The following is a 27,350-nucleotide window of genomic DNA, read 5'->3' on the forward strand; positions in this document are numbered from 1 at the left end:
ATAGAATACCATTAAATCTTTTAAAATGATATGTTATTTGTCATGCTTCTCTTTATTTGTATTATCTTAAGTAGGACATTCTCACAAAAGTCAGGTATAAATATTATAATAATTATATGAATACCTAATATAATTGTACTGATGATTATTCATTTATCTAAGAAAATTAATGTTTCAATCCCTGAGACAGGCAGCAGCTGGGATTATTTTTCTAAATTATTTTAAAGATTTAATTAAGAGAACTATTCTCAAGCATTATAGTCCATATTCCGTGAATGCTTTCTACTGAGTAATATTTCATAAATATATGATCTCAGAAAACTGGTGTCTAGAGATAATTCTTCCCCCCAAAACCCAATCTTCTTTTAAAGAAGGTAAGTTACCAATTTCTCCACAGCTAGATAATTTTAACTGCTATATTCCATAAACATAAATAATTCACGCTTTAATTTTAGAATATTTGAAATTGAAACAACAAACTTCTTCAAAGCTAAGTTTGTTCTAAGTAACTATAATTATTTTATTTATATGACTAGTTTATAGTTTATTATTTCTATAAACATTAACTATAACAGCTTGAAATATTTACTAGAAATTTCTCTTATTAAAATGCATAATAATAGTAACGTTGGGTATAATAAATTGGAAATAAAGCAAAACACATGAAGCAGAACTAATTCCTTCATCATTAATAATCTTATACACATGAAAGATACAAGCTTTCAATAAATGTTATAGATCACTATTTTTTGCTCATTGTAAATATATGCATAAATTAATTATGTAATCTATTTCAGTATAATACTTTAATGGCAGCAATGAAACCATATGAAACATAAGCTATTTTTTAACTAGAATAAAGGTTCTGTAGAGAGGGAAATAAGTTCTATACCTAAGGCACTTAAAAAAGAAAAAAATAAGCCTCTCCTTCTAAATGCAAAGGTGTTTAAAAATATGACAAAATAGTCAGTTTGCATTTCCTGTTTTCGCTTCCTTATGTGTTCTTCCCGCAGGTACCTGAATGACTCACTCCGGACTTCCTTCAGATTTTTGCTCAACTGTCACGTCTCAGTGAAAACTGCCATATCTTCTCTACTTAAAATTCTAATTTTTCAGGCTCCTTCCTCCTAACCCAACTCTACACTCCCTAATCATATGCCCTGCTTGAATCTTCTCCATTAGTATCTTTCACCATCTGATAAACTTGATTTGTTTATTTGCTTATATGCTATTTTCCCCCACTGGGAATATAAGCTACCTAAGGACAGGGAATTGTTACCTGTTTTATACTCTGCTGTTTTCCTAGAACCTAAGTAGTGACTGGCTCATGATAGTCACTTGATAAATTGTTGAATCAGTAAACAAATCAAAATTAGAGCAAATAAATAAGTTATCAGTATTATAACAGTACATAAATATAAAAATGAAGAAAATCCTGACTCTTGATTAAATTACATTTAAAAGAAAAAAATAAACAGAAAAGAAGGATATTCTCTTCCTACCCTTCTCTGCCCACTTTACAAGAAACTTTTATACCATCAGGTTTTATAAACACCAAATGCTCTCTTTCATTTATTTTTTAAGGGTTTTTTTGTTAACCAAAATTTGTAATGATGGGCCCAGAGTCACAGTTTCAGGCCTCATAGAGGCAATTGGCTATGAAGGTTAGAAGGGGTATTTTTTGTACAGTGCAGGTTTCTCAACCCCAGCACTATTGGCATTTTACCCCAAATAGTTCCTTGTTATGGGGGCTGTCCTGTCCCTGTGCCTTGTAGGATATTTACCAGCATCATATTGTCAACCTGCTAGATGACAGTAGCAACCCCCTTTTCCCTGCACAGTTAGTATTGTTTAAAATGTCTTCAGACATTGCCAAATGTCTCCTGGTGAGCAAAATCTCCTGGAGCTGAGCATCACTGGTGTATTGGGAAGAACTCTGGCTTTGGAAATAGACAGACTTATGTTAGAGACCCAGTTTTGACCGTGATCAATCCAGTTTTCAGAGGTAATACAGTCGCATTATCTCCATCACACAGTTACTATGTCTATTAGCACTAATGTGTGTAAGTTATCCGGAACAAAGTAGATGCTCTGTAAATAACAGTTACTGATATAAATTCTGCATCACAGTGGTTAAAAAATATATAATTAATTTATACATATTAAAGTTTTTTTAAATAAACGCATATATATGATAAAAGCTGGAGCAGTCTATACAGACTTTTAAAACATATTTGCAATTAAAATACATTTTAAAAGTAACACAAATTAATATACAGTCTTACTTCTGCTATGAACTGAATTATGTCCCCCTTCCCAACCCAATTCACATGTTGAAGCCCTAAGGAGATGGGGCCTTTGGAAGGTAATTAGTTTTAGATGAGGTCATGAGTATGAGGCCATCATGATGGGATTAGTAGAGACACCAGAATGCTTGCTTTCCTTCTCCTTCTTGATGTGTAAGAACCCGTCAAGAAGGCTATAAAGCAGGAAGAGAGCCCTCACCAGGAACCAAATTCACCTGCACCTTGACTTTGGACTTTCCAGCCTCCAGAGCTCGAAAAAATACATTTCTGTTGTTTAATCTACCCAGTTTATGGTACTTCGTTAAGGCAGCCCAAGCTGTCTAACACAATTCCATTTTTAATTCCTGCATAATATTTCACTGTTACAGATATTCTATGATTCATTTGGCTAGTCCTTTATAATGCAGATGTAGATTTTTCCCCAGACTTATGCAATTACAAATACCACTGCAAAGGACAATGTTTGCATATATCTCAGTGCATATATAACTTAGTATATCTATAGGACAGATTCCTAGAAGAAATGCAGGCTTTCAAATCTAAACATCATGGATTAAAAAGTTTGCTGCGGACGAAGAGGTTCCAAGATGGCCAAATAGGAACAGCTCGAGTCTACAGCTCCCAGCCTGAGTGATGCAGAAGACGGGTGATTTCTGCATTTCCAACTGAGGTACCAGGTTCATCTCACTGGGGCTTGTCGGACAGTGGGTGCAGGACAGTGGGTGCAGCCCACCGAGCATGAGCTGAAGCAGGGTGAGGCATTGCCTCAGCCAGGAAACTCAAGGAGTCAGGGAATTCCCAAATGTCCATCAATGATAGACTAGATTAAGAAAATGTGGCACATATACACCATGGAATACTATATTGCCATAAAAAAGGATGAGTTCATGTCCTTTGTAGGGACATGGATGAAGCTGAAAACCATCATTCTCAGCAAACTATCGCAGGGACAAAATACCAAACACCGCATGTTCTCACTCATAGGTGGGAATTGAACAGTGAGAACACTTGGACACAGGAAGGGGAACATCACACACTGGGGCCTGTCATAGGGGAGGAGGAGCGGGGAGGGAAAGCATTAGGAAATATACCTAATGTAAATGACGAGTAAATGGGTACAGCACACCAACATGGCACATGTATATATACGTAACAAGCCTGCACATTGTGCACATGTACCCTAGAACTTAAAAGTATAATAATTAAAAAAAAGTTTGCTGCACTATTTATTAACTATGTAACTGAGCAGTTAATTTAGGCTAGCTGAGCCTCAGCTGAGATTTCTAGAATAAGCAATGTTAAGGGTACGTCTCTTAGGGGATTGCTGCGAGAATTACACAAGTATAGAATTGTAAATTAAATACTAGAATGTTTTTTAAAAATTTAGACTAACAATTATTACTGTTAAAAATAATAATGTTGTTCGGCCTGGTTATGAGACTACCTTTAAGAACCCAATACTCTCTACAAAGTTTTTGTTTTGTTTAACTCTTTTACTCTTGGTGTGAGTTTAAATTTTTGTTTTTGTTTTCCTTCCATTAAGCTATTTATTTTCTATGAAAACAGACACAATCCAATACATTCCTTCTTTCCTTGCATTTCTATATACATATGTACATGTAGTACATGCCAGAAATGATTGGCTATATTTTATACATCTTTCCTCTTACTCATTTTCTCCCCATTTCAATTCAAATCCTAATATCTTAACTTTTTATTTTAATATGTGTTTCAATAAATACTTAAATTCTACAATATATTTATGGCCATGGTCATTTTACATAAAATGGCCATTTTACATAAACATTTGTCTGCTTGTGCTGAAAATATATTTTGGTCACAGTGGCAGGTGTTTGTGTGTGTGGCCATTATTCTATTTATTCATATATTTTACTATTATTGAGATGTACTAAATATAAAGTGTCTTGCTGTGTGTTATGAGTGAAACATATATGAATAAAGTGTGGTCCCAAATTATGGAGAAGCGAGACCTGTTCGTACATGATTATTTTAGGAGACAAAAATACTCCACTGTATTAGGAAAATACGAATGCATTCAGAGAAGAGAAAGATCGCCAATCACACTGGGGTAAGCAGACATAGCCTTGAAACGTGGATGGTGTTTCACCCATTAGGGCAGCTAATGAACAGGGAACACACTCAAGGAACAACAAGGCAAAGAGAAATAAGTAGGGCATAATTACATAAAGAAGGAACAGTTTACCCGGATGTAGTGCACATGACTGAAGTAGGGATAGAGGAGAACAAAATGAGAGGAAGAGTTACGGGAGCAAGGCTCTTCCTTATGGTAAAACAGTACTTGACTTGAGTCACAATCCCAGAGCGTTCATCTTACAGGACAGGGTTTTAACAAATCTTACTAATTTTTTTTTTTTTTTTGTCTATAATGTGAGACTAATAATGCTAATAATGCTTTGGATTTTAACAAATCTTATTGATTCTAAGTTTCTTTATAAGGTGAAACTAATAATGCTGTGATAACAAGATTTAGTAAATGAAAATGAAAGAAAATGAGCATTTCTGAGTAACGCTCATTTATTTCAGCCTTTGAAAGTGGCTAAGTAGGTAATGCCACAGCAGGTCCTAATACAGCAGATTTTGAAAGTTTGCAGATTGGAGATAGAGAGAATGAGAGGAAGGTAAGAGGCAACTGCTGTAGCTCCGACAAGAAGTTAAGTTCCTAACCAGAGTGTGAAAGGAAAACAAACGACAACAACAGTAATGAAACAAACAAAAAGACAGGGCTATCAAATACAAAAATAAAGTTAGCCATACAAATACATTTGAGGATCAAGGAAAAAAACTGGCCCCAGTTCCCTCTGAGCTTAAGGCAAACACTTGGGAGAAACTATAGAACCGCTATAGAAAAAAAATAATCACGAGAGGAGCTGCTTTAGAAGTGACAATTCAATTTCATTCTACTCAACAAGCAATTTTCCAGTGGTTGTCAATGGAAGGTTTCCATTCTCTTGGGGGAATTAAGGAAATTTGTAAGGTCATTTTTGGCTATCAAAATCACTAGGGACTATTACTGACATTTAGTGGAGAAGGAGTCAAGGATGATAAATATCTTACAAAGCACTGAAAATAAAAATTGTCCTATTTCCTATGTCATCATTGAATACCCCAGTGGACATTTATATTGATGAAAAATCTTGTTTACAGGTATCTGAACCCAGAATGTAACTCTATTTTATATCTAAAGACAAAGCATTTTCTACATGGGTTTAAGAAATACTAAATTATCCACGAATATAATTGTTCTTTATATTGTTCAAAATGTTACCAAAAATTGTTCACCACTTCAGAAAAATCAAGCCATCAACATCAATTCCACTTGTTATTTTAGAGCTAACAGCACAGCATACCTGCATCAGTCTGCATTTTTAGCTATTTCACTTCTAGTGATGCTTTATATGAGAAAAAGCAGCTATTTCTTCAGATATAGTATGCCCAAAGCATTTGTAAATTGAATTGATTTTTTTTATTTTAAATTACTTTGCTGTTATTTCTCATTTTATTACAGTCAGGGCATTACATTTTATTTGTTACTTAAAAAAGGGAGGCATTGACCAGAGCCAATCCTATAAATTCAAGACCATTTTTAAAAACCCTCAAAGGTGCAGTTTTCAACGAGTCACTTTTTTAGCAGAATGGAAAGAGAGGTGCATATGTGAATTCTTAGTTAAGTAGATTCAATCTAGTCAAGCTGTCCTTATAAGGGACCATCCCTGACTCTTACATTCACGTGCTTACAAACACTGCTGTCTCTCCTCTAGGTCTCTTCCCATTCTAGCCTTCATCCAGGGCCAATTTCAATCCTACATGCCTCATGAAGTCCCCCTCTGAAGACATTTGGAAGTCTTACTTGCATTTTTATACAATGATTTGCACGGATCAGTTTTATATGTATCAATCTGTTTTCCCCTTTCATCAGCATTTCTAATGCCATGGCATTATCTTACAACTCTCTTCTGTCCTTCATAATACTTAAGCACTTAAGCCCTGAATAAAAGTGGTCAGTATTAGTCCTATTGAAAGTTTTTTTTTTTTTTTTTTTTTTTTTTTTTTCCGAGATGGAGTCTCCCTCTGTCTCCCAGGCTGGAGTGCAGTGGCGCGCGATCTTGGCTCACTGCAACCTCCACCTCCCGGGTTCAAGAGATTCTCCTACCTCAGCGTCCTGAGTAGCTGGGACTACAGGCACATGCCACCATGCCCGGCTATTTTTATTTATTTTATTATTTATTTATTTATTTTTTTAGTAGAGACAGGGTTTCACTGTGTTAGCCAGGATGGTCTCCATCTCCTGATCTCGTGATCCACTCGCCTTGGCCTCCCAAAGTGCTGGGATTACAGGCATGAGCCACCACACCTGGCTGGAACTTTTATTTTAGACAAAACATAATGCAAAACCTCTCACAGTAACCCCCAGTCCTCAAAACATCAACAATAAACACAGACCTGCACTGATTGTGGTATTCTGGGTATTTCTATAACATTTCTAGGTTTCTGTAGATCATAGTTTACAAATTGTAGAAGTAAAGGACATTTCAGAATCTGATTGACTCAAATTACTTTCAGAAAATAAAAATATAGAAATTGAAAGTTTGTTTTCTCTCATAAAGGAAAGAAATAAACCCCTCCCCCACCCCCCCAACCCCCCCAAAAAAAAGAAAGAAAGAAAGATATGACAAAAGCAATGGAGAGCCTAGGGCAGACAGAGTGGGGTAAATGAGAGAAGAAAAGGTAGGGAGGGAAGGAAGGAAGGTCTTCTGAAAAGCAAAGATTCCTTTGAAACTTGAAGTTTCAGCTGCTTTTTACATTCAGGGGAAGAGAGATTTAGTAAGCTTTGAAAAAAAAAAATCTGCACTTGACAACATGTAAAGCGGACTTGCATTGTAGGAAACAGAAGAGACTCCTTAAGGTGAACTATAAGAGGTAAGGAATTTTCAAATTATCAGACTCCCCACCTTGTTATAATAAGACAGCATATAGACTCCTTTCAAATCAGATTTCAGTGTAAATCTGCGAGTGTTCAGTTTCAGGATAACAAGATTAAATGCATCAATCCCAGAACCTGTCATTTGCCATCATTTATAATGTTCCATAGATTCCATGATAACTAGCCATAATAATTTATCTTAAGAAGTAGAAAAAAGGCTTTTGATGATGTCTGTATGCTAATTTTACTGTTTTTTATTGTATGTATTTTTTAAATTTTTCTCTTATTTAAGTGTATCATATTAAGTATATCTTAGAAAATTCATAAAAAGTGTGCAAGTTGAGCACTTAGATTTTTACTTTTAAAGTTCTAAAATTATTTATTATACCAAGTGATATTTTGCTGAGAAGAAATAAACATACATTTTAAAAGCTTATCATTGAGAATTCAGCTGAAAAAGCTTAAGAGTTAGTGTAGGTAAAAACTAATTTTTTTTTTTTTTTTTTTTTTTTTTTTGCCATTAGCTGTAACTCACATTTTTTTCAGTTATCGGAGAGGTTAAACAATTGTAAATACTTTATCATACAATGTCTAGAGGGAACATTTGAAACCTTTAATCCCCAAAAATATGAACACTGTATTCATTCTTGAGCAACTGAACATGACATTCTCTGACATGCAGATGGTGTCTGAAAGTATTTTAATCTGACAGCCTTGACTTTCCCATGGGTAAACTACCCATGTGCCTTGAATCTCCATAGCAGCTATTGTGATAACTTCAAGTTTGTGAGGTGAGCCCACAGAAAGTATGAACAAATGTCCTTAAGGGTTATGTTTGCTAAAGCCTTTCAAGGGCTCCCTAAAAGACAAATGATGAGCTCATTTGGTTCACATTGATTGAAAACAAATGTTGTGTGCATAACCAGATCAACAGAGCCAATGTTTTTCTGATTATTAGACTGTGACATGAGTCTGCAAATACACACAGGACCCACCTTTTTTGACTGATCCCCATAGTAGCCAAAATTTAATCTCTTTTTAATGTTTACTTATTAATCCCATCCTGGAAAATTGCCACTTGAAACAGGTCAATAGTATAATATATTAAAATTGTGATAAATAGAAAAATTTAGCAGAGAGCTTAAATATCTATGGAAATTGTGTAATTAAAGGCTGGTGGTTTTTTTGCCTTTACCTGTGACTCAAAGTTTCTTTCAGTTCATAGTGAGGATAGCCAATTGCAAGTGATTCTAAGATTTGATGGTTGTTGGAGATAGCTACTCAGATATTTATAGGAAGCACAAACCTATTCTAAGACAAATTAAGCAGTTTTATGTTGTAAACTCCCACCAAATTCTTAACTAAAAGTTGAAATACTTTTGCCTAACTTATGAAACAGATTAAAATGAACTCTGATTAGCATAACTTCACAAATGAACTTTTTTATTTGTAATTTTTATGTTCTTTTGTATTGCTTTAACCAATATAATCATTTATTTAAAACTAAATCCTATTTTATTTAAAACTAATAGTTTGATCACTAATGGATGGATCAACACATTAGTGATAAAAATCATGCAAGGTTAAAACTTTAATGGCAAAATAACAATTACTTTTGCACCAACATATAGAGAAATAGATAAAGAGATATATATAATGGATAGATAAGAATTATATATGTGCTTGTGTACGTATGTGTGTGCATATATATATGGATGCATACATACACACACACATATAATAGACTGAATATTTGTGTCCCTCAAAAATTCATATGTTGAAATCCTAATCCCCAATTTGATGGAATTGAAGAGTGGGATCTTTGGAAGGTAATTTGGTCATGAGGGTAAAGACCTCATGAATGAAATTAGTGAACTTATAAAAGGATCCCCAGAGAGCTCTTTCTCTCTCTCTTTTCTCTCTCTCATTTGTTTCCATGAGAAGATATAAAAAGTAAGCAATCTATAATCTGGAAATGGGCCCTCACCAGAACCCAACCATCCTGGCACCCTGATCTCAGACTTCCAGCCTCCAGAACTGTGAGAAATAAATTTCTGATGTTTTTAAAGCCTCTCAGCCTATGTTAATTTGCTATAGCAGCCCAAGGTAAGACATACAAATATATAAATAAAAATATATATATGCATACACCTTGACACTCAAGTAGTATATGTCATGATAATTTTAGATTCCTTACCTACAAATATCATGGCAAATACAACTTCCAAAGATCATTTAGCGCCATAAAACAACACAACAACAAAAAGCATATACGGAATGATATATAAATGAGAGCAACTGTGCATATAGTAGAATAGCAGAGAATAATGAATAAATAGCTCATAGGTGTGAGTGAAGGGTGGAGGGTAAATTCAAACTCATACCCCTTATAGGGCCCAGGGCTCAAACTCTTGACCTTGACAAATTACTACATGACTCATTTTCATAAACAATGTCAAGAGCATCTGTGATTAAATGATATGCTGACCATTAAGTACATAATTGTCAGTGATTCTCTATTTAGACATACTGACTTCAAGTTTCCTTAAATATTATTCATACCCTCAGTTCTATTTTAAAGCTATGATCCATTTACACCAGCTCTTTCATGCCCCACTAAAAAAGTACAAAATACAGATAAGCTATCATCCTTCTATTTCGTGAATTCCGTCATAATTTTCAACAAGAAATAAGACTATTGTTTCTGTGACAATATTTGTTTTACATGTGTATTTTCTCTTATCTCCATGAATTGATTTGTTCAACTTTCTCTTCAGTGTAAATACAATATATGCAGTCTGCTCTCAAACTGCATATGCAGAAGGGAAAGAAATATGTTAAATAAAATCCATAAATAACCCAGAAAGCCTAATTTTAGTCAATAGTTTTAAAGTCCTGCTCCTCATAAAGGCACTAAAAACTGAACAGTGACTTGATTAACTTGAGTTCGCCTCACTGTCTCCTGCAGGCATTAGTGACCAGGAAAATGTCAAAAGTTGTGAGGAAAAAGATAAATAAAAATTAAAAATCCCTGTAACTGAATACTAGGTAATCAATAGTAAAACATTACATAGCTGACTGTATACTATTTTATAGCACAAATCGTTTAAAATAATGTAGGAAACTGTTTTTACCATATCATTATCTCATAAAACAGAAGTTTTTTTAAATTTGTGTTTATTTATTTACTTTTTTTTTAGACAGAGTCTCACTCTATCACCCAGGCTGGAATGCAGTGGCACAATCTTGGCTCACTGCAACCTCTGCAGCCCGGGTTCAAGCGATTCTCCTGCCTCAGCCTACTGAGTAGCTGGGATTACAGGCACCCGCCACCACGCCTTGCTAATTTTTTTTTTTTTTTTTGTATTTTTAGTAGAGATGGGGTTTCACCATCTTGGCCAGGCTGGTCTTGAACTCCTGATCTCGTGATCCACCTGCCTCGAGCTCACAAAGTGCTGGGATTACAGATGTGAGTCACTGCTCCTGGTCAAACAGAAGTATTTTTATAAAAGAAAATTCCATAAAAAAAATTTGCAAAATACTTAGAAAAAATATCTAAGAGAAAAGGTTGTCAATATAATTTTAGAGCAACTAGTTATTACTGTATATTAGAAAGCAGAAACTTTTGTATTTGCCAGCTCTGACAGTTAGGAAAACTGACAAGATCATCTTTAAAAATGGAGAAGATGGGAGGCCAAGGTGGGTGGATCACCTGTGGTCAGGAGTTCAAGACCAGCCTAGCCAACATGGTGAAACCCCGTCTCTACTGAAAATACAAAAATTAACCGGGTGTAATGGCGCATGCCTGTAATCCCAGCTACTGGGGAGGCTGAGGCACAAGAATCATTTGAACCTGGGAGGTGGAGGTTGCAGTGAGCCAAGATTACGCCACTGCATTCCAGCCTAGGTGACAGAGTGAGACTCCATCTCCAAATTAAAATAAAATAAAATAAAAATAAAAATGGAGAAGAATTTGATGTTCAGAGCTATAGGTTGGTCAGCTTTTATCTAGCAACTTGAAAGGTGTTAACAGTCCTCATTAAACAGTCATTGCACTGTCACTGGAGAATAGGAGAAGCACAGGCAATACACTATTTGAGCCATGACAATGTTAGAGGATTTCTATCTTGGAAAATTAACCTTATCACCTGGGAAGATTTATTTTAATGTAATTATGTTTTATATTTTTTTAAAAAACAAAACATTTAAAAAATAATATAAAAACTGTAAAATCAGCAAAATGTTAAGCAGTTGTTAGTTCACACAGCATTCCTTCAATCTTCTCTCACTGTCTCTTCAGATCTTTACTCAGAAGTCACTGTCTTGGCAAACTCTTGGCTACTCAGCCTCAAATTTCACCCCATAAACTTCCTTATCTATTTTCCCTGATCTGCTATTTTTTCCCTTAATATTCAACTATCATACTATACGTTTTACTCATTTATCTGCTTTATGGTCTGTCTTCCATGTTACTATGCAAGCTGGGATTCTTGCCACCATGTATATCAGCAGCTGGCACATAGTGAGCACTGATAAATGCTTGCTGAAAGAATGAAAGAATGAATGGCAATAGATATTTATTGCTGTTAGGGGTGCAAGTTCTACAACAAGTAGTTACATTGCCTTGTTAGGAGTTTAACTCAAATAATAGTTACACCTGACATTAGTATGTCCTTAATTTTTATTTACCCCAGGCAGAATACAAGCTCTGTTCAAACACCACTAGAAAACCTTCGTAGAAAATCCTGTATCCTGTTCTCCACAGAAGGGGCTTATTCTCCTCTGTATACTATACCAGCTCTACCAGGTGACTTTTTTTTTTCTACTAAAGTCCCCTCTAGTGGTACAGTTGGGTGTTGGCTGCCTTAATTCCATCCTTTTCTCTCAGTAACTCAATGTCACCAGTATAAATGATGACCAAACCAGAGGTGACACCTGCTGCCCTCTGTGCTGAAGCAACAACAGAAGGTTATTGTAGAGATTTTTGTTGTTGTTTTTTTGTAGAGTGTTTGGCTTTTATAGTGTTAGCCTTCACAGCTTTCATAGCTAGCCTATATAGTAGGTTAGTTTGCATGGTATTTTTTTAAAAAAAAATTTTAAAAAAGATTACTTGCTAATAATTAAAAATTGTGAGATTTTAAATAAATATCTGTATTTCTTCCTTCTCCTCAAAAATAAAAGATATGTCACAAATGGTTAATATTCCTTATGGCAAAAATAAGTGGAGCTGAGAGGTGTTCTACCATAAGTGGGACTTTCATTTTTCCCACTCCATCATAATTCCTGCCACTCCCAAGCTAGTTCAGATATTGCAGCCTAGACTCAGATCCTACTTAACATTTATGTTAGAGCTATTTGGTTTTATCACCCCTGACATACTTTACTCATTCATAACCTGCTTAACTCTATTAAGATTTGAACTTCTAAGTCTATTCATAAATAAATGACTGCCCTGTGGGTAAACATATGAATTAATATCTATAGCAGTGCAAAAAGTGACTACAAAACTTAGCACCATAAAACATTTATTGTCTCACATGGTTTCTGTGGGTCTAGAATCTGGGAGCAGCCATGTGGGTGGTTCTGGTTTGGAGTATCCCTTGAGGTTACTTTATAGCTGTTGGCTTGTGCTAAAATCTTGACTGCCTTTCTTCCCACGTGTACTTCTTCACTGGGCTGCTTGAGTGTCCTCATAACATGTCAGCTGGCTTTGCCTAAGGACAGTGATCCAAGAGAGGGCAAAGAAGCTCATGCTTTTTATGACTTTGTCCCCAAAGCCACATATCATCACTTCCGCCTTATACTCTTAATTAAAAATGAGACAGTACCCACACTCAAAGGAAAGAAAGCTAAGCTCTACTTATTAAAAGGAGAAATAGCAAAGTGTTTATGAAACATATCTTGGTTTACAGGTCTTGACTGAGTCATCAAATAATTGCTTTATTTTGATCTGGGTACTATTCTAATTAAAACTAAGAGTCTCGAGCGGTTCCAATTTATAATCCTTGAGGTTTAAAAACTTGTGCAAAGTGTTCAAAGAGATTTTTTTTAACATAGCTTTAGTATAAACTACTCTTAAATTTTTTAGTGAAAGACAAACTTTCAGTTACTTATCATTCAGCACCTATGTAGCCTCTTTGGGGAACTATCATACATTTGTATATACTAATCACTTCATAGTACAATGACTTGTTTTCTGGGTGTGTAATTTCAGGATCCCTGTAGACAAATTTCTTTTTAAACATTTGTAACTGCAGTCTTCAGTAATCCCCTGGATATTGGTGAGGTTCCTGTGTTTTACTTTTTCATTGTTTTTTTTTATATGACTATAGTATTCAGCCTCAGCAGCAAGTAGGCCATCACATTTTTTTTTCTCTTCTCAAATAGAAGGGGTGGAGGTTTTGAAAGAAGGAGAACCCTGAGGAGAAGAGTAAGTTTAAAGCCAAACCAGAAAATGTTATAGAGACTCTTCCCCTGATTCTCTTTGGTAATGTACTTTAAATTTTAAATCCTCAGACTGCTAGGTGTATTTTGGTATGTCCAGTTAACATATTGCCAGTAAAGGCATTACGAGGTTTTTTGTTGTTTGTTTTGAAGCTGAGTCTTGCACTGTTGCCCAGGCTAGAGTGCAATGGTGCAATCTCGGCTCACTGCAACCTCCACCTCCCAGGTTCAAGCGATTCTCCTGCCTCACCTCCCAAGTAGCTGGGATTACAGGCACCCGCTACCATGACTGGCTAATTTTTTGTATTTTTAGTAGAGACAGGGTTTCACTATGTTGACCACGCTGGTCTTGAACTCCTGACCTCATGATCTGCCTGGCCCAGCCTCACAAAGTGCTGGGATTACAGGCGTAAGCCACTGTGCCCGGCCAAGAGGTTTTTTTTTGTTTTTGTTTTTTGTTTTTTTATTTATTCTTTATGTTTCAGAGCTACTCAAATTACAGTGGCAAAAAGGGGTATACTTACACAGCAATTTACTTGTTAAGAGAATTTTAATTTCTGCAAGGCGGGGTTCCTCTACAAAGCTGATGTCATAACAGATTCACAGCATTGACACAATATGGGCATTACGATCTCATTCAAATTTTCTCCTTCTTCCATTTATCAGTCAACAAACCTAACATCTTTATTTTTTGCTAAGATAGATACCTGCTCCATTTTTTGATACTATATTTACAGCATTGAGCTCTGTTAGTTTAGTATTCATTTTCTACTCAAAACACGGTCAGCAGCAATATTAGCAGAAATAAACCTTCATAAAGCCTTAAATATTTCTACAAGGTAACAATTTTATTATATTTTTTTCCCTTAAAAGTCACCGACTTTCCTTGAAATATTATTCAAGATTTTTAACACCTTTCCTCTAATTTACTGAGTTCCTTAGTTATGCTATTTGATAGTTTGGGTTTCATAAAGTACATTGGAAATAAGTTTTTGAAAACATAATGTGGGTGATGATTTAGAGACTGTTACAGCTTACTCAACTACTTTCAGAATTTAAACTCTGCTTATTTTTATTTAAAATACGTACAAAGACATAAGACAAAATATTATTGTTCATTTTCTAATACTAAGTAATATATTCTGTTTTTTAAAAAAAGTCATCTTATAGACACTATGAAACAATTGTCAATAAATTCCTACTGTAAAATAACCTATTTGTCAAGTACAACCCTTTTGTTTTATATATATGTAACTTCTGGATATATACAATGAAAAGAATGTCAATATAATGCTCTATAAATAGCACAGAAATTGCCCAAAGACTCAAAAGAAAATTGGAGACTTAAATACAAGATGATTTCTCTTTTACACATTTAAATTTCTCATCTGAAGAAAAACTATTTAAAAAAACCTGATTCTAAGAAATAATTTAGAAAAAATATATAAGTAAAAGGTATAGCAGAAGGACAGTAGTTTAGGAATAAGCTTAAGCAAATGAAAACCACTAAACATCTGATGAAGTATTCTATCACATATCTGGAAATTCCCAACTAGGGAAACGTAGAGAGTGCTTTAAGGACCAAATTAATAGGCATCAGATGCCAACTTTGACATTTCCATAGAACTCTACTTTTCAAAAAGTACATTCATTTAGAACTTCAAGTGATTCTCACAACTTTGTGATATAGGCAGATATTTTAATGTCTATATTTCCCTATAATAAAAATTGAAATAGAGATCATCTTAACACTTAAGGTTTGTTAAAACAATCTCTTTCCTTCACAAGAGAGAGGAAGACTCATTCTTAAATAAAATTTGCAATATTTAAACCTTGTTCACCTTCATCTAGATATTTTTAATTTAATTGAAAATCAAAGATGATAAAAATATTTTTTATCTAGAAAATGAATTTCCAAATCTGTCTCAATTAACAACTGTTTACTTATTAACATATACTCATGAAAATTCATTACCAAAAAAATAATAAAACAACAACAACATCAAAAAAAAACCTCACAAACCTGAGAAATAGTAAAATGGCTAAAAGATTTAGAATATAGAATTAAAAGGCATAAATTTTTACCTATATAAATAAAGGTAAAAATGTATTCAAATGGGCTTTTCATAAATTGTATAAGTTTTTAAAAATTATTCTGAATATATCACAATATTCAGAATTATAAATATTAAATAATTTTCTGAGTATCATCCTGTAACCGCAAATGCAATTACTGAAATTCTTTGTAGATTAGCCAATCCTCACACCCCTCACCTACCACAAACTTCAGCTTAGAGCCAGCCATTCACTAAATCAATATTCAGCCATCCTCAACAAAGAGTTCTTTTTTATGCAACCACTCTTAACATCTTTTGAAAAATTCAAACTATCTTTTTAAACTGAAACTTACATTTCAAAAATTAGCTTCTAATACCAATATAGTAGAGGTTAATTATTTGCTCCATGGAAGCCATACCTCCCTTTTAGCTTCCTAATCATTTTACTTACCTAGCACCTTTTTTTCCCTAGAAGATTGAATCAAAGAATGGAAATAACACTCAAATAAGTAAAATCTCTACTCACTCCAAAATACTGAAAAGAATTATTCAATGGGAAATTATTTCAATCATTGGTCAAATGGACCCTGTTGTCTTGTCTTTTGAATTCTACCTATGGATCAAGCTATTCTTTATTAAATGGAGATAAGCCAGGTTTGACTTTATTGTGACAAATGCACTAGGCCCTTAGACTTTAGAGGACTGGAGTAGAACACAGAAAATAACAATTGTAAAATAATACAAGTCATAGTAAGCCAAGAATCAGTAACAGTAAAGTTAGTATTGCTAACACTAAGTTTCTGATCTGGATAATCTTATAAGTCTGTTTGCTAAAGAGGAAAAGAAGGAAGAGAAGAAAACCTCATAGAAGTGTTCAATTTGAATATAGTTCTGGTGTTAGTGGAGCAGTAACTTTCCTAAGCTTTTAACAGGTCATAATAAATCAACCCCCAATCAATACAAAGCAACCAAGCTATAGAATAATTTCACTTACCCATGATGGTTAGGGCTGTAGCTTTTGTTAATTCTTCTTTCATTGACTCGATTACTTCTAAATTACCACCATCCAGGTTGCATCTATTTATGGTTCCATTCCCTGAACTGATCCAATAAAGCTTGTTTTCCACATAGTCTATCGATAGACCTGTAATTAAATTTTACAACTTAAACATAATGATAGCCACTTAAATTGTAATATCCACCTAGCACCACTGGATTTGAGGGGAAAAAAATAAGTTGAAAGTTCAGATTTTTGTCTTTACAAATAAGATCTGGCTAATAGGGAAATACACATATGGTGTTTTGGGTTTTTTATTTTGTTAATTTTTTAGAGACAGGGTCTCACTCTGTCATTTATACTGGAGTGCAGTGGTGCAATTATAGCTCACTGCAGCCTCAGACTCCCAGGCTCATGCAATCCTCCCATCTCAGCCTCCTGCTGAGCTAGGACTACAAATGTGCACCACTATGCCCAGCTAATTTTTATTTTTATTTTTTTAATAAAAGGGGCTCACTATTTTGCTCAGGCTGGTCTTGAACTCCTGGGCTCAAGCGATCCTGTCACCTTGGCCTCCCAAACTGCTGAGATAACAGGCATGAGCCATGGCACCCAGCCAACATAAACAGTTTCAACCGACAGAGAAACGTTATACTTTTATAGGCACTTAACAGGTATCTCTATGGATTACCAACATAATCTGTGCCACCAAGAAATGACAGCTCCATTTTACAGATACAAAAAATAGTACCTAGAGTAGATAAGAAATCTGTGTTCATAGCTAGTTAGTGGACATTCCAGATATTTTTGAAAGTTTCTGTTTCCAAATTGAGTGCCTGCCCTCTTCATTATGCCACTTTGCCTCAGAAAGTTTTAATGTGTAATGACTCATTTGGGATACTAATTTAACTGATGAAATTTATAATTACTCATCTATTTTCCATAAAATTTACTTAGGCAGTTACAGATTTAAATTGGTGATTTCATCCCTCTTCAAGTAAATCCAAAAATGGAAGATTTTCAGCAAATAGTAATTTTACCAAAGTACAGAATTAAATTGAGCTCATTTGGTGGTTGATATGGGGGAGATAAACCATTTGGCAAGTGAGTGAATCAAGCCAATGACTTAAGACCCTAATCTCGACCTGGCACAGTGTGTCACGGAGGTAAGGCTAGGCTTTATTATATTTTATGGGCAACTTCACATATTACAGTGGTGGCCATCATTGTCAGAGGTCTCAGGGTAGGTACTTTTTGTTTGCTAAAGGTCCTTGGCACACATCTACTTAACTACTGGCATGCTCAGCAGAATCAGTATCCACATTTTAACAATAACTCTGTAGAACCATGTTGACCTTCTGTGATCCATAACTACTCACGGAAAAGTACATGTGGGCATATACTCAAGCACACAATGCAACCAACTGTTCCTGGGATCTCTCTCAGAGAATAAAGTGAACAAATCACAAATAATTCCTTCCCTTAAAAAAAAAAAAAGATGAAAAGAAGGAAGGGCAGATGATTGAAGAGACACACAGATTCAAGTGCACTGAGAAAAGGTCAAATATAGCCTAATAATTCTCAACTACAGGGATTCCCAGGACAAAGAATGTGAATCATTAAATGCATTTATCTCTATGGATTAGACCCTCTTTTTTTTTCCTGAGAGTTGGGGTCTCACTCTGTTGCCCGGCTAGAATGCAGTGGCACAATCATAGCTCACTGCAGCTTTGAAATCCTGGGCTCAAGCAATCCTCCCACCTCAACCTCCTGAGCTGCTGGAATTATAGGTGTGAGCCACCTCGCCTAGTTCTATTTTTTTTTCTTTTTCTTTTAGTGAGTGCAGATTCTATAGGAACAAGGTAAAGCTAGCTTATGCTCAGAGTCAGGACATGTGTGGAATGTAAGGTAGTGACTGGCCACAGGGCTACTGTGTTTCTAACTAAATTCTGTGTCTTGATCTGGGCACTGGTTATATAGGCAAGCTCATTTAATCAACATTTGTCAAGCCATATATTTAGGATGGTTTACTTTTCCATATGTACGTGATTCTACAATATAAAGTTTACATCTAAAATGAGGGAAGAAGCTAGGGAGTATATGGGAAGTTTAAGCAAAATAAAACAAAACCTCCTAAATCAATGCAATACACAATGCCAAGCAATTTAGTTAAGAGGGGGCTTCACAGAGGGAAGAATGTTGTCTCTCTTTTTTTTTTTTTTTTGGATCTGAGTTCACCAGAGTCTATTATTCAACTTCTTTGCTTCTAGACTGTGCCTAGAGGAAAGAGGCTTTGTCATAGTCATCTTATTTTGCTGTCTAGCATGATGACTAGAATTGACAAGAAAATTAATAAACATCAAATAAATGGCAGACTATTTAGTTAATTCCATCTTGAAACTATAGCTTGTTTTCAAAGAGTTCTGCCTAGAAAAGTTTAGTTATCTTCTCAACTGAATTTTTTTTTTTCTTTTTTTCAGACAGAGTATCACTGTGTCACGAGGCTGGAGTGAACTGGCATGATCTCGGCTCACTACAACCTCCACCTCCTGTGTTCAAGCAATTCTCCTGCCTCAGCCTCCCAAGTGGCTGGGACTATAGGCACGTGCCACCACACCCAGCTAATTTTTGTATTTTTAGTAGAGATGGGGTTTCACCATGTTGGCCAGGATGGTCTCGATCTCTTGACCTCATGATCCACCTGCCTCGGCCTCCCAAACTGCTGGGATTACAGGCATGAACCACAGCACCTGGCCCCAACTGAATTTTTTAATGTACTACTTATACCCAGATACTGTAACAAGTATAGAGGAAGAGCAATGATTCAACATCTCTACTTAGTATGACTTAAATATTTAAATTAATTTTAATATTGAATAGCTTCAAATTAATATTTTTAAGATTCACAAAAACAATATTTAAAGTTTCTATATTAATCTCTCTATATATATGTATGCATATGATGCATATCACATAACTCCCTCCATATATCTTCTTTCCTGTTAAGTATGTTAGCTTAACCCTTAAATGTTCTTGGGTGCATTTATTCTCAGGTTCATAAAATAGAATTGCAAAGCTTTACAAATCCTATTGTGAATTTTAAAAACTGGTGACATATGCTTTATATTCATAATATAGATATATATAGAAGTATAATACATATCTCTGAAGTTTATTAATGCAAATGTTTTTGCATCATAAGATTTTTCATTTTGTTATTATCATTCACTAAAGTCCCAACAACACTAAATGATTAATTGGTATACATGATGCTGGAATAATTTCTGAATCAGTTCTCTGTTGTGCTAATATTTAAAAAAATGAATCACTAGGCAGTGAACAAATAATTGTTTAATGCAATTAAAACTACTCAGTGATGTCAGAATGCTAAATCAATACCCATGAGAAAACAGTCAAATGTGAGCATATTTATAAAACTGTCCTGGAACTTATGCAAAGAAATATAATTATGTCTGTATGAAAGGATCCTCAGAATGGGTGACTTAAATTTGAAAATCTTCAAAGGCTATAGAATCTGTCTGAAGAATGTATCAATTGTAATACAGTCTCATTTTTATAAGACATATTTAACTAATTTTTGAAATCATCTGAATCTGGCTATCAAAAGAGGAAATCTAGATCCAATAACATAATAAGTATACGAAAAAAATAAGTCACTATTTAAATTAAGAAAAAAATATATGAAAAGAAAAATTTATCTTTTTACTTATCTTTTCTATTTTTATAAAAATACAGCTAATCCATATGCTTTAATTCTAACATTCCTTATTATCAGTCCCGAATTTTCCTTTATATATTACTTTATTTGAACATTTTGATTTAAATAGGCCAGTTTAATTGTTACTGAGACAATGAAAATTGCAAAAATTATGTAATTTCTCTCATAATAGAAATATTCTACATATTAATGTAAGAAACTAAATATTTTTAAAATAATGTAATTTACCTACATACAGTATTTCATATATTACTGAAAAAATTAAGTTTGTTAAGTTTTAAGTGTTGTTACAATTAAGACTAGGCAGTTCATTTTATGTGTCTCATTTGTTTTCTAAGTGGCTCAAAATTAAATAAATATACTATGCAGTATGGAGTTAAAAAATTGCAAAAGTATAAAAAAGGAATTTAAAAAATTAAGAATTAAGGCTTCCAATAGATATTTTTAATACATTTCCATCACTTAGCAAATTTAACTTCAAAATTCTTATCCCTAGCTGAGAATTTTAATTATCTGGAAAGTTATTTTAAAATATTGATCCCAGAGCCCCAGTCCACAAAATTTCAGTTTAATTGGTTTGGGCTGGTCCTGGGCCTCAGTATTTTTAAAATATCTCTGCAGGTAATTTTGTGATATACAATTTAAAAAAAATTGTGTTAAACATTGCATATTTTTATAAGCTTTCAAATGTAATATTTTAGTAAATTCAACTGGGCCTTTTAAATTTTGCTGGAAAGAGTATCACAATGGTGAAACTTTTGGAGACAGGGGAATGGTAGAGATGTAGATATGGGAAATAGACACACTATGAATATTAAAATGTAGAGGATTAACTTCCAGGCCTCTACACAGGTATAATAAATATAATCAAAATCTTCTAAATATTCTTTTTCTGGCACTAACTTCAGACAGTAGAAAACAACTCCTTCTACTTCTGGGACTGTGAAAGTTCTAGAAACTGACCATTGTAAACACAGAAAACATAGAGAAATACCAATAAGTTACATCACATGCTATATCTGTAGAAGAATTATAATATTCTAAATACCCCAAAATGAACATTTTTTCAGGCTTCATCAGAAATGGCATCACTATTCCTATTCCTGGGGCAGAACTGTTTTGGAAACATTAAAACTTTAGCTCTGATGGAGGCTAGTTATTACATGGAGAAGGATTCACTATTAGGCTATCTCAAGAAATGCTTTATCCATCCTGAGAATATTTGGGTTTTGCTGGGTAAAGAATGGATGTGCTGGCTGGGCACTGTGGCTCATGCCTGTAATCCCAGCACTTTGGGAGGCCAAGACGGGTGGATTACTTTCAGTTAAGAGGTCGAGACCAGCCTGGCCAACATGGCAAAACTCCATCTCTACTAAAAACACAAAAAAATTATCCAGGTGTGGTGTCACACGCCTGTAGTTGTAGCTACTCGGGAGGCTGAGGCAGGAGAATCGCTTGAACCCAGGAGGTAGAGGTTGCAGTGAGCTGAAATCATGCCACTGCACTCCAGCCTGGGCAACAGAGCGAGACTCTGTCTCAAAAAAAAAAAAAAAAAAAAAAAAGAGAATGTGCTGAGGAAACCCAAGCACTTTGTCTTTGTCTGTTCCATCCCTGGCTTCTCTGTGAAGTGAACACAAATCTAAGGTGTTAGCCTTCAGTCGCCTTGTCTAAGTATTTCTGGCAGCCTTGCCCTTGCTGCTCCACCATTGTGAGGTGGTAATGATAAGAATAATGCCTCATACAGTTGTGTCTGACACATGGAAAGCATGAAATAAATGTTAGCTATATTTATGAGTGGTATAAATGTTTATATTTCCCTTTCAAGCTAAGGCTCTATTCTAAAGCTTGCAACCATCTCTCTGGTAATCTCACAACTGATAATTTGGAGATAATCTAATTACTAAAAATGTTGAGATTATGTACTTCATTCATAATCACAATATTCTTTCAATTATAAAACAAGCACATCAAAATTAGAAACTTTTGGTCTGTGAAAAGTAATAAAAGACATGATTTAGTCTGGGAGTAAATATTTGCAATCCATGCATCCAACAAAAGGTAAGTATCAACAAAAGAACTTTCAAAACTCAATAGTTAAAAAAATGCAATTGAAAAATGGGCAAAAGAGATGGAGCATGATGACTAAAACAGAGAAGAAAACTTCACAGAAAAGAGAACAGAGAAGAACAGAGAAGAAATATTTCACAGAATAATATATACAAATGGCAAATAAACACATAAAAAGATGTTCAATATCATAGGAAAATGCAAATTAAAATGAAAATTGTTATAAACAACCTAAAGTCTAGAAGAAATAAAAGTGTTTTTAAGTGACAATAGGATACACTATATGTCTATTACAATAGCTAAAATAAAAAAGCAGTGAGAACACTAAATGCCAACAAGGATACAGAGAACTGGATAACTGATACACATTGTTAGTGGTAATGTAAAATGGTAAAACCACTCTAGGAAACAATTTGACATTTTCTTATAAAATTCAGCACACTAATGCAATATGACCCAGTATTGCATTCCTGGGAATTTAACTCAGAGAAGTAAAAACTAATCTTCACACAATAATGTCCATATAAACCTTTAAATTACTATTATTTTTTCAAGACAGAGTCTCGCTCTGTCGCCCAGGCTGGAGTGCAGTGGCATGACCTCAGCTGACTGCAACCTCTGCCTCCCGGGCTCAAGAGATTCTCTTGCTTCAGCCTCCCATACCGCCCTGCTAATTTTTTGTATTAAATATTTTTTGTAGAGACAGGCTTTGCCACATTGGCCAGGCTAGTCTTGAACTCCTGGCCTAAAGTGATCCACCTGGCTCAGCCTCTCAAAGTACTGGAATTACAGGCATCAGCCACCACACCTGGCCTACATTAATTTTTTTAAAAGCACATTATTCAACAACTAGTTGAGTATACTGCCTTTATCTTAACATGATCTAAATCCTTCCTGGAAATTACCCTTTTCATTTCACCCTGTCAGTTACAGGGCTAAAGTAGTCAACTGATCCCTTACTACTTATCCTATTCAAGGTAAGATTTCAACATTTCCTCCGTCCTTCCTAACATAACTCATTTTGCCTCAGACAGTTTATCCATATCCCGAGCCCTTGATGAGTAGCAAATCTTATGTGCCTTGTGAAAATAACACACACAGAAATAGAGGAAAAACCAGAATCAACGAAATTATTTTTTAAGTGTTTTCTTTTAAAAGCATTTTAAAAGCTTTAATACCTATAGTTTTATAATTTTCCAAAACTATATTTTATAGCTTGATAAGTAAAATAGAACAAAATATTTTTAAAGCACTGGATTGTGTCACTTAAATATTTTTAAACTGTAGTTCCTGACAACACAATGCTAAATATTTCCTTATGTTAGATTTGCTACGCATATAGAAAAATTCAGTTTTGTACACATATCATCCTCTTTTATGCCTTTTATGCCTGCTTTTCTTTTCTGCTGATACTAAGGAAAGCCCCTCCTCTTTCTGTTGCTTCTTTAAAAAAAAAAAAAAAGTATTTTTTTTCAAGATCCTGTAGCAATTTCAAAATATTATCAATTTGGTTACAATTCTTTTTTCTAATTTTCCTCCCTGCAAAATATTAGTTGTTTATTTTCAGTGTCTACTTAACTGTATGATGAGCATAGTACTCATGAAAAACATTGAGTGTTTTTGTTTTGTTTAACTCTACTAAAAATCTCATTCAAATGGCTTTTAATTATCAGTGATTTTTTTCCTTCACTGAACTACGTCCTCCTGGAGGATGGTACCAGGTTTTGTTTTTAGGGTCTAGTACCTAGTGTACACTTCATAACCTTTTTAAAAAATTACCTCCCCCGCACCCCCAATTTAATAACATTTGAATTAAATGAGTAAATGAATAATCAGATGAAAATGTAATATATTTAAATTATTTGTGTGTGTTAGCATGTGTAATTATAATCTTAGTTTGTCACCTCCTCCGGCTTCTTTGTAACCTGTTTGTAACATTTCTTTTGAGATGTGCAGTCTTAAATGGAATGTGCTTCCTACATAATAAAAGTGATTGTGCTGAGTAATAAGTATATATCAATAACAGAAATGCATAATATTGAACAAGGAAACATATCCAAGACTTTTTTAAAAAATTTACTTCTAAAAACTGAGGTTCCTTATTTTATTTTGATGTGGGAAAAAGTGCTTAAGAATGTTATCTATGAATATAATTCACACTCTACTTCATACAGTGTATGAGTTGGAATAAAGTAATAGAAAATGCCTGGTAGATTTCAAGAAGATGTACTGCAAGTTTAAGTAAACAAATAACTTTCAATTGGGATTACATTGAAAATAAAGGGGAGGCCGGGCGCCATGGCTCACGCCTATAATCCCAGCACTTTGTGAGGCTGAGGCGGGTAGATCACGAGGTCAGGAGTTCAAGACCAGCCTGGCCAATATGGTGAAACCCCATCGCTACAAAAAATACAAAATTAGCCACTCAGGAGGCTAAGGCAGGAGAATTGCTTGAATCTGGGAGGCAGAAGTTGCAGTGAGACAAGTTGTGCCACTGCACTCCAGCCTGGGCGACAGAGTGAGACTCCGTCTCAAAAAAAAAAGAAAAAAAAAGAATAAAGGGGAAACATCAAAGAAATAAAAATATATAGTACACAAGATTCCTAAGAATATCCATGAAGGGTAATGTTGATTGACAAGCCAAGTTCCTTTATATGAGGCTTAAGGGATAAAATTCATAATATAAGGGCATTTTAACCATAGAAATCACTGTCATCAGTAAAGTAAAATCTTCTGATATGTAAACTGCTCTAAGCATTTAATATATCCAAGACTGAGCAATACATCTTAATTGAGAATATTTAGCTCAACAATGGATAACTGGAATGCTGATGTTGATTTGTATTGAACAGAAACAAAGTTATTCAGCCTAAATTGCCTGAAGGCTGCAATTACTCAGTCTTTAGTGACACATACTCATAAAATGCCAAGTTGAGCATTTTCATATGATTATGATACACTTCTATTTTAAGTATGTCACATGTGGATTTAACAGCAAACAAGCAAGCGAAGTCAGTGAATTACAACATAAAAACAATTCCTCAAACTAGAAAGTCTAGTGTATCAGTGGCATTGCCATTTCAAAGCAATTAAAGATTCAGAAATAATTAATTGTGAGGCACAATTGGCTAAGAGGTGAAATTGGTTCTTGGATACTCCTGGCTGCTTAGAAAAGTCAACTGCTGTGTCCTAACTGGGTCCACATTTCTTAGGAGTAAGCCAGTTCTGGATTTTTCCCTTTCCCACATTCCATGCTTGAAAAGTATCAGCTTTATTCCATTATCTTTGCTGAGGTTAAGTAATTACTATATGAAATCAGCCTCTCTGGGCACAGCATAATGGTTAAGATTTCATATGGTTTTAGAAGCAAATAAACTTGGATTTTAAAGCCAGCTTTCATCATAGACTACCTTCTTTCGACAAGACTCAGTTTCTGAATCTATAAAGGAAGGAAAAGAACTTCTTCCAGAAATAATTGTTATGAGATGATTAATGCAAAGCATTTTGAAAGTGGCTGACATATTGCAAGTGCTTAAAAAGTAGTCACTATGATTATATTATTTTTGTTGCCAGAGTGATCATGGTTCTACCATATGAAACCATATGAAAGATCTCAATAAGTGCATGCAGACACAAAGGTGTGGCCTCATGATGAGAATACAGGTACTATAAAGGGTGTTAAGTAGTAATTGCTATGAGCTAATTGATGCTGCTCCATTTTTACCAGGCAGAATATAGTGTTTTCTCCTCACATTCTGGAAAAAAAAATAAAATGTATAATCTGACAACAATATGCACGAGAAGAAATTCAATTGAACAGTGGCTCTTCTTAATTGTTTAATTTTCTTCACTGAAATTTAAGGAATACTGTAGGCAGTTTGAGCCAGAGCTCACACAGACTCATCATTAAATAATAATTACAATAATTGCTTGCAATAAGTAAATGAAATTACAATGAGTAAATAATGCAGTGATTAATGCCCTATGTATTTAAGTATTTCATGGTGTAATGATCATGTATGCCAGCAACAATAGGTTTGTATTTATTTTTTCACACATTCATATATCCATTCACTGTACTGTAAAATTCCATTTTAGAAATCACTCAGTGGAACAGTTCTGAAGGAATCTTTTAAAGTGGTGTTACAATGACATGGACTACTTAGAGTATTTCAAATATCCTATGTCAAGTGTTTCCTTATGAAACAACTTTGATTCTATATTAAATATAGTTTATATATATAGTTTAAATATAGTTTATATATAAAACACAGAAATATTTTATCCAATTATTTGCATAGCAGTTTTAAATTATTCAGAAAGACAGAAAAAAAAGTAAAATATTATCCTTAGCAAACTACTACAGGAACAGAAAACCAAATAACACATGTTCTCACTTATAAGTGAAAGCTGAATGATGTGAACTCATGACCACAAAGAAGGGAACAACAGACACTGGATTCTACTTGAGGGTGGAAGGTGGGAAGAGGGTAGGAGAGGAGCAGAAAAAAATAGCTATTAAGTACTAGGTTTAATACCTGGGTGATGAAATGATCTGAACAACAAACCTCAATGACATGAGTTTACCTATGTAACAAACCTTCACATGTACCTCTGAACCTAAAACAAAAGTTAAAAAAATAGCAAAAGGAATTTAAAAAAATAAAAAAAAATAGAAAACACAATAATCTGAAATTCTTTAGTATTTTCTCTTAATTAGTAAGAAACATAAGCTATTAAATATATTTTAAGAAAATGGTTGAGGCACGCACAGTGA

The 27,350-nt window shown here is 34.4% G+C and overlaps 1 protein-coding gene across 4 annotated transcripts in view, besides 1 other annotated feature; it reads right to left on the reverse strand.

The window, feature by feature from the left end:
- The window catches only part of LRP1B (LDL receptor related protein 1B), a 1,899,594-nt gene that overhangs the window by 565,470 nt on the left and 1,306,774 nt on the right, over positions 1-27,350 (reverse strand). For all 4 annotated transcript variants that reach the window (NM_018557.3, XM_017004341.2, XM_017004342.1 and 1 more), the window contains one exon: positions 16,765-16,914. In NM_018557.3, coding sequence (NP_061027.2) covers positions 16,765-16,914 — 150 coding nt within the window. The remainder of the gene's footprint in view (positions 1-16,764; positions 16,915-27,350) is intronic.
- Positions 520-1,719: an enhancer, noted in NCBI's record as "MED14-independent group 3 enhancer chr2:141554981-141556180 (GRCh37/hg19 assembly coordinates)". NCBI's record gives its function as "activates an origin of replication core promoter dependent on BRD2, BRD4, P300/CBP and CDK7 cofactors, and independent of MED14, by STARR-seq in HCT116 cells {active_cell/tissue: HCT116}" and the evidence as "EXISTENCE:reporter gene assay evidence [ECO:0000049][PMID:35650434]".

This window comes from Homo sapiens, chromosome 2 (assembly GCF_000001405.40).
Source record: "Homo sapiens chromosome 2, GRCh38.p14 Primary Assembly".
In the NCBI taxonomy this organism is placed as follows: domain Eukaryota; kingdom Metazoa; phylum Chordata; class Mammalia; order Primates; family Hominidae; genus Homo; species Homo sapiens.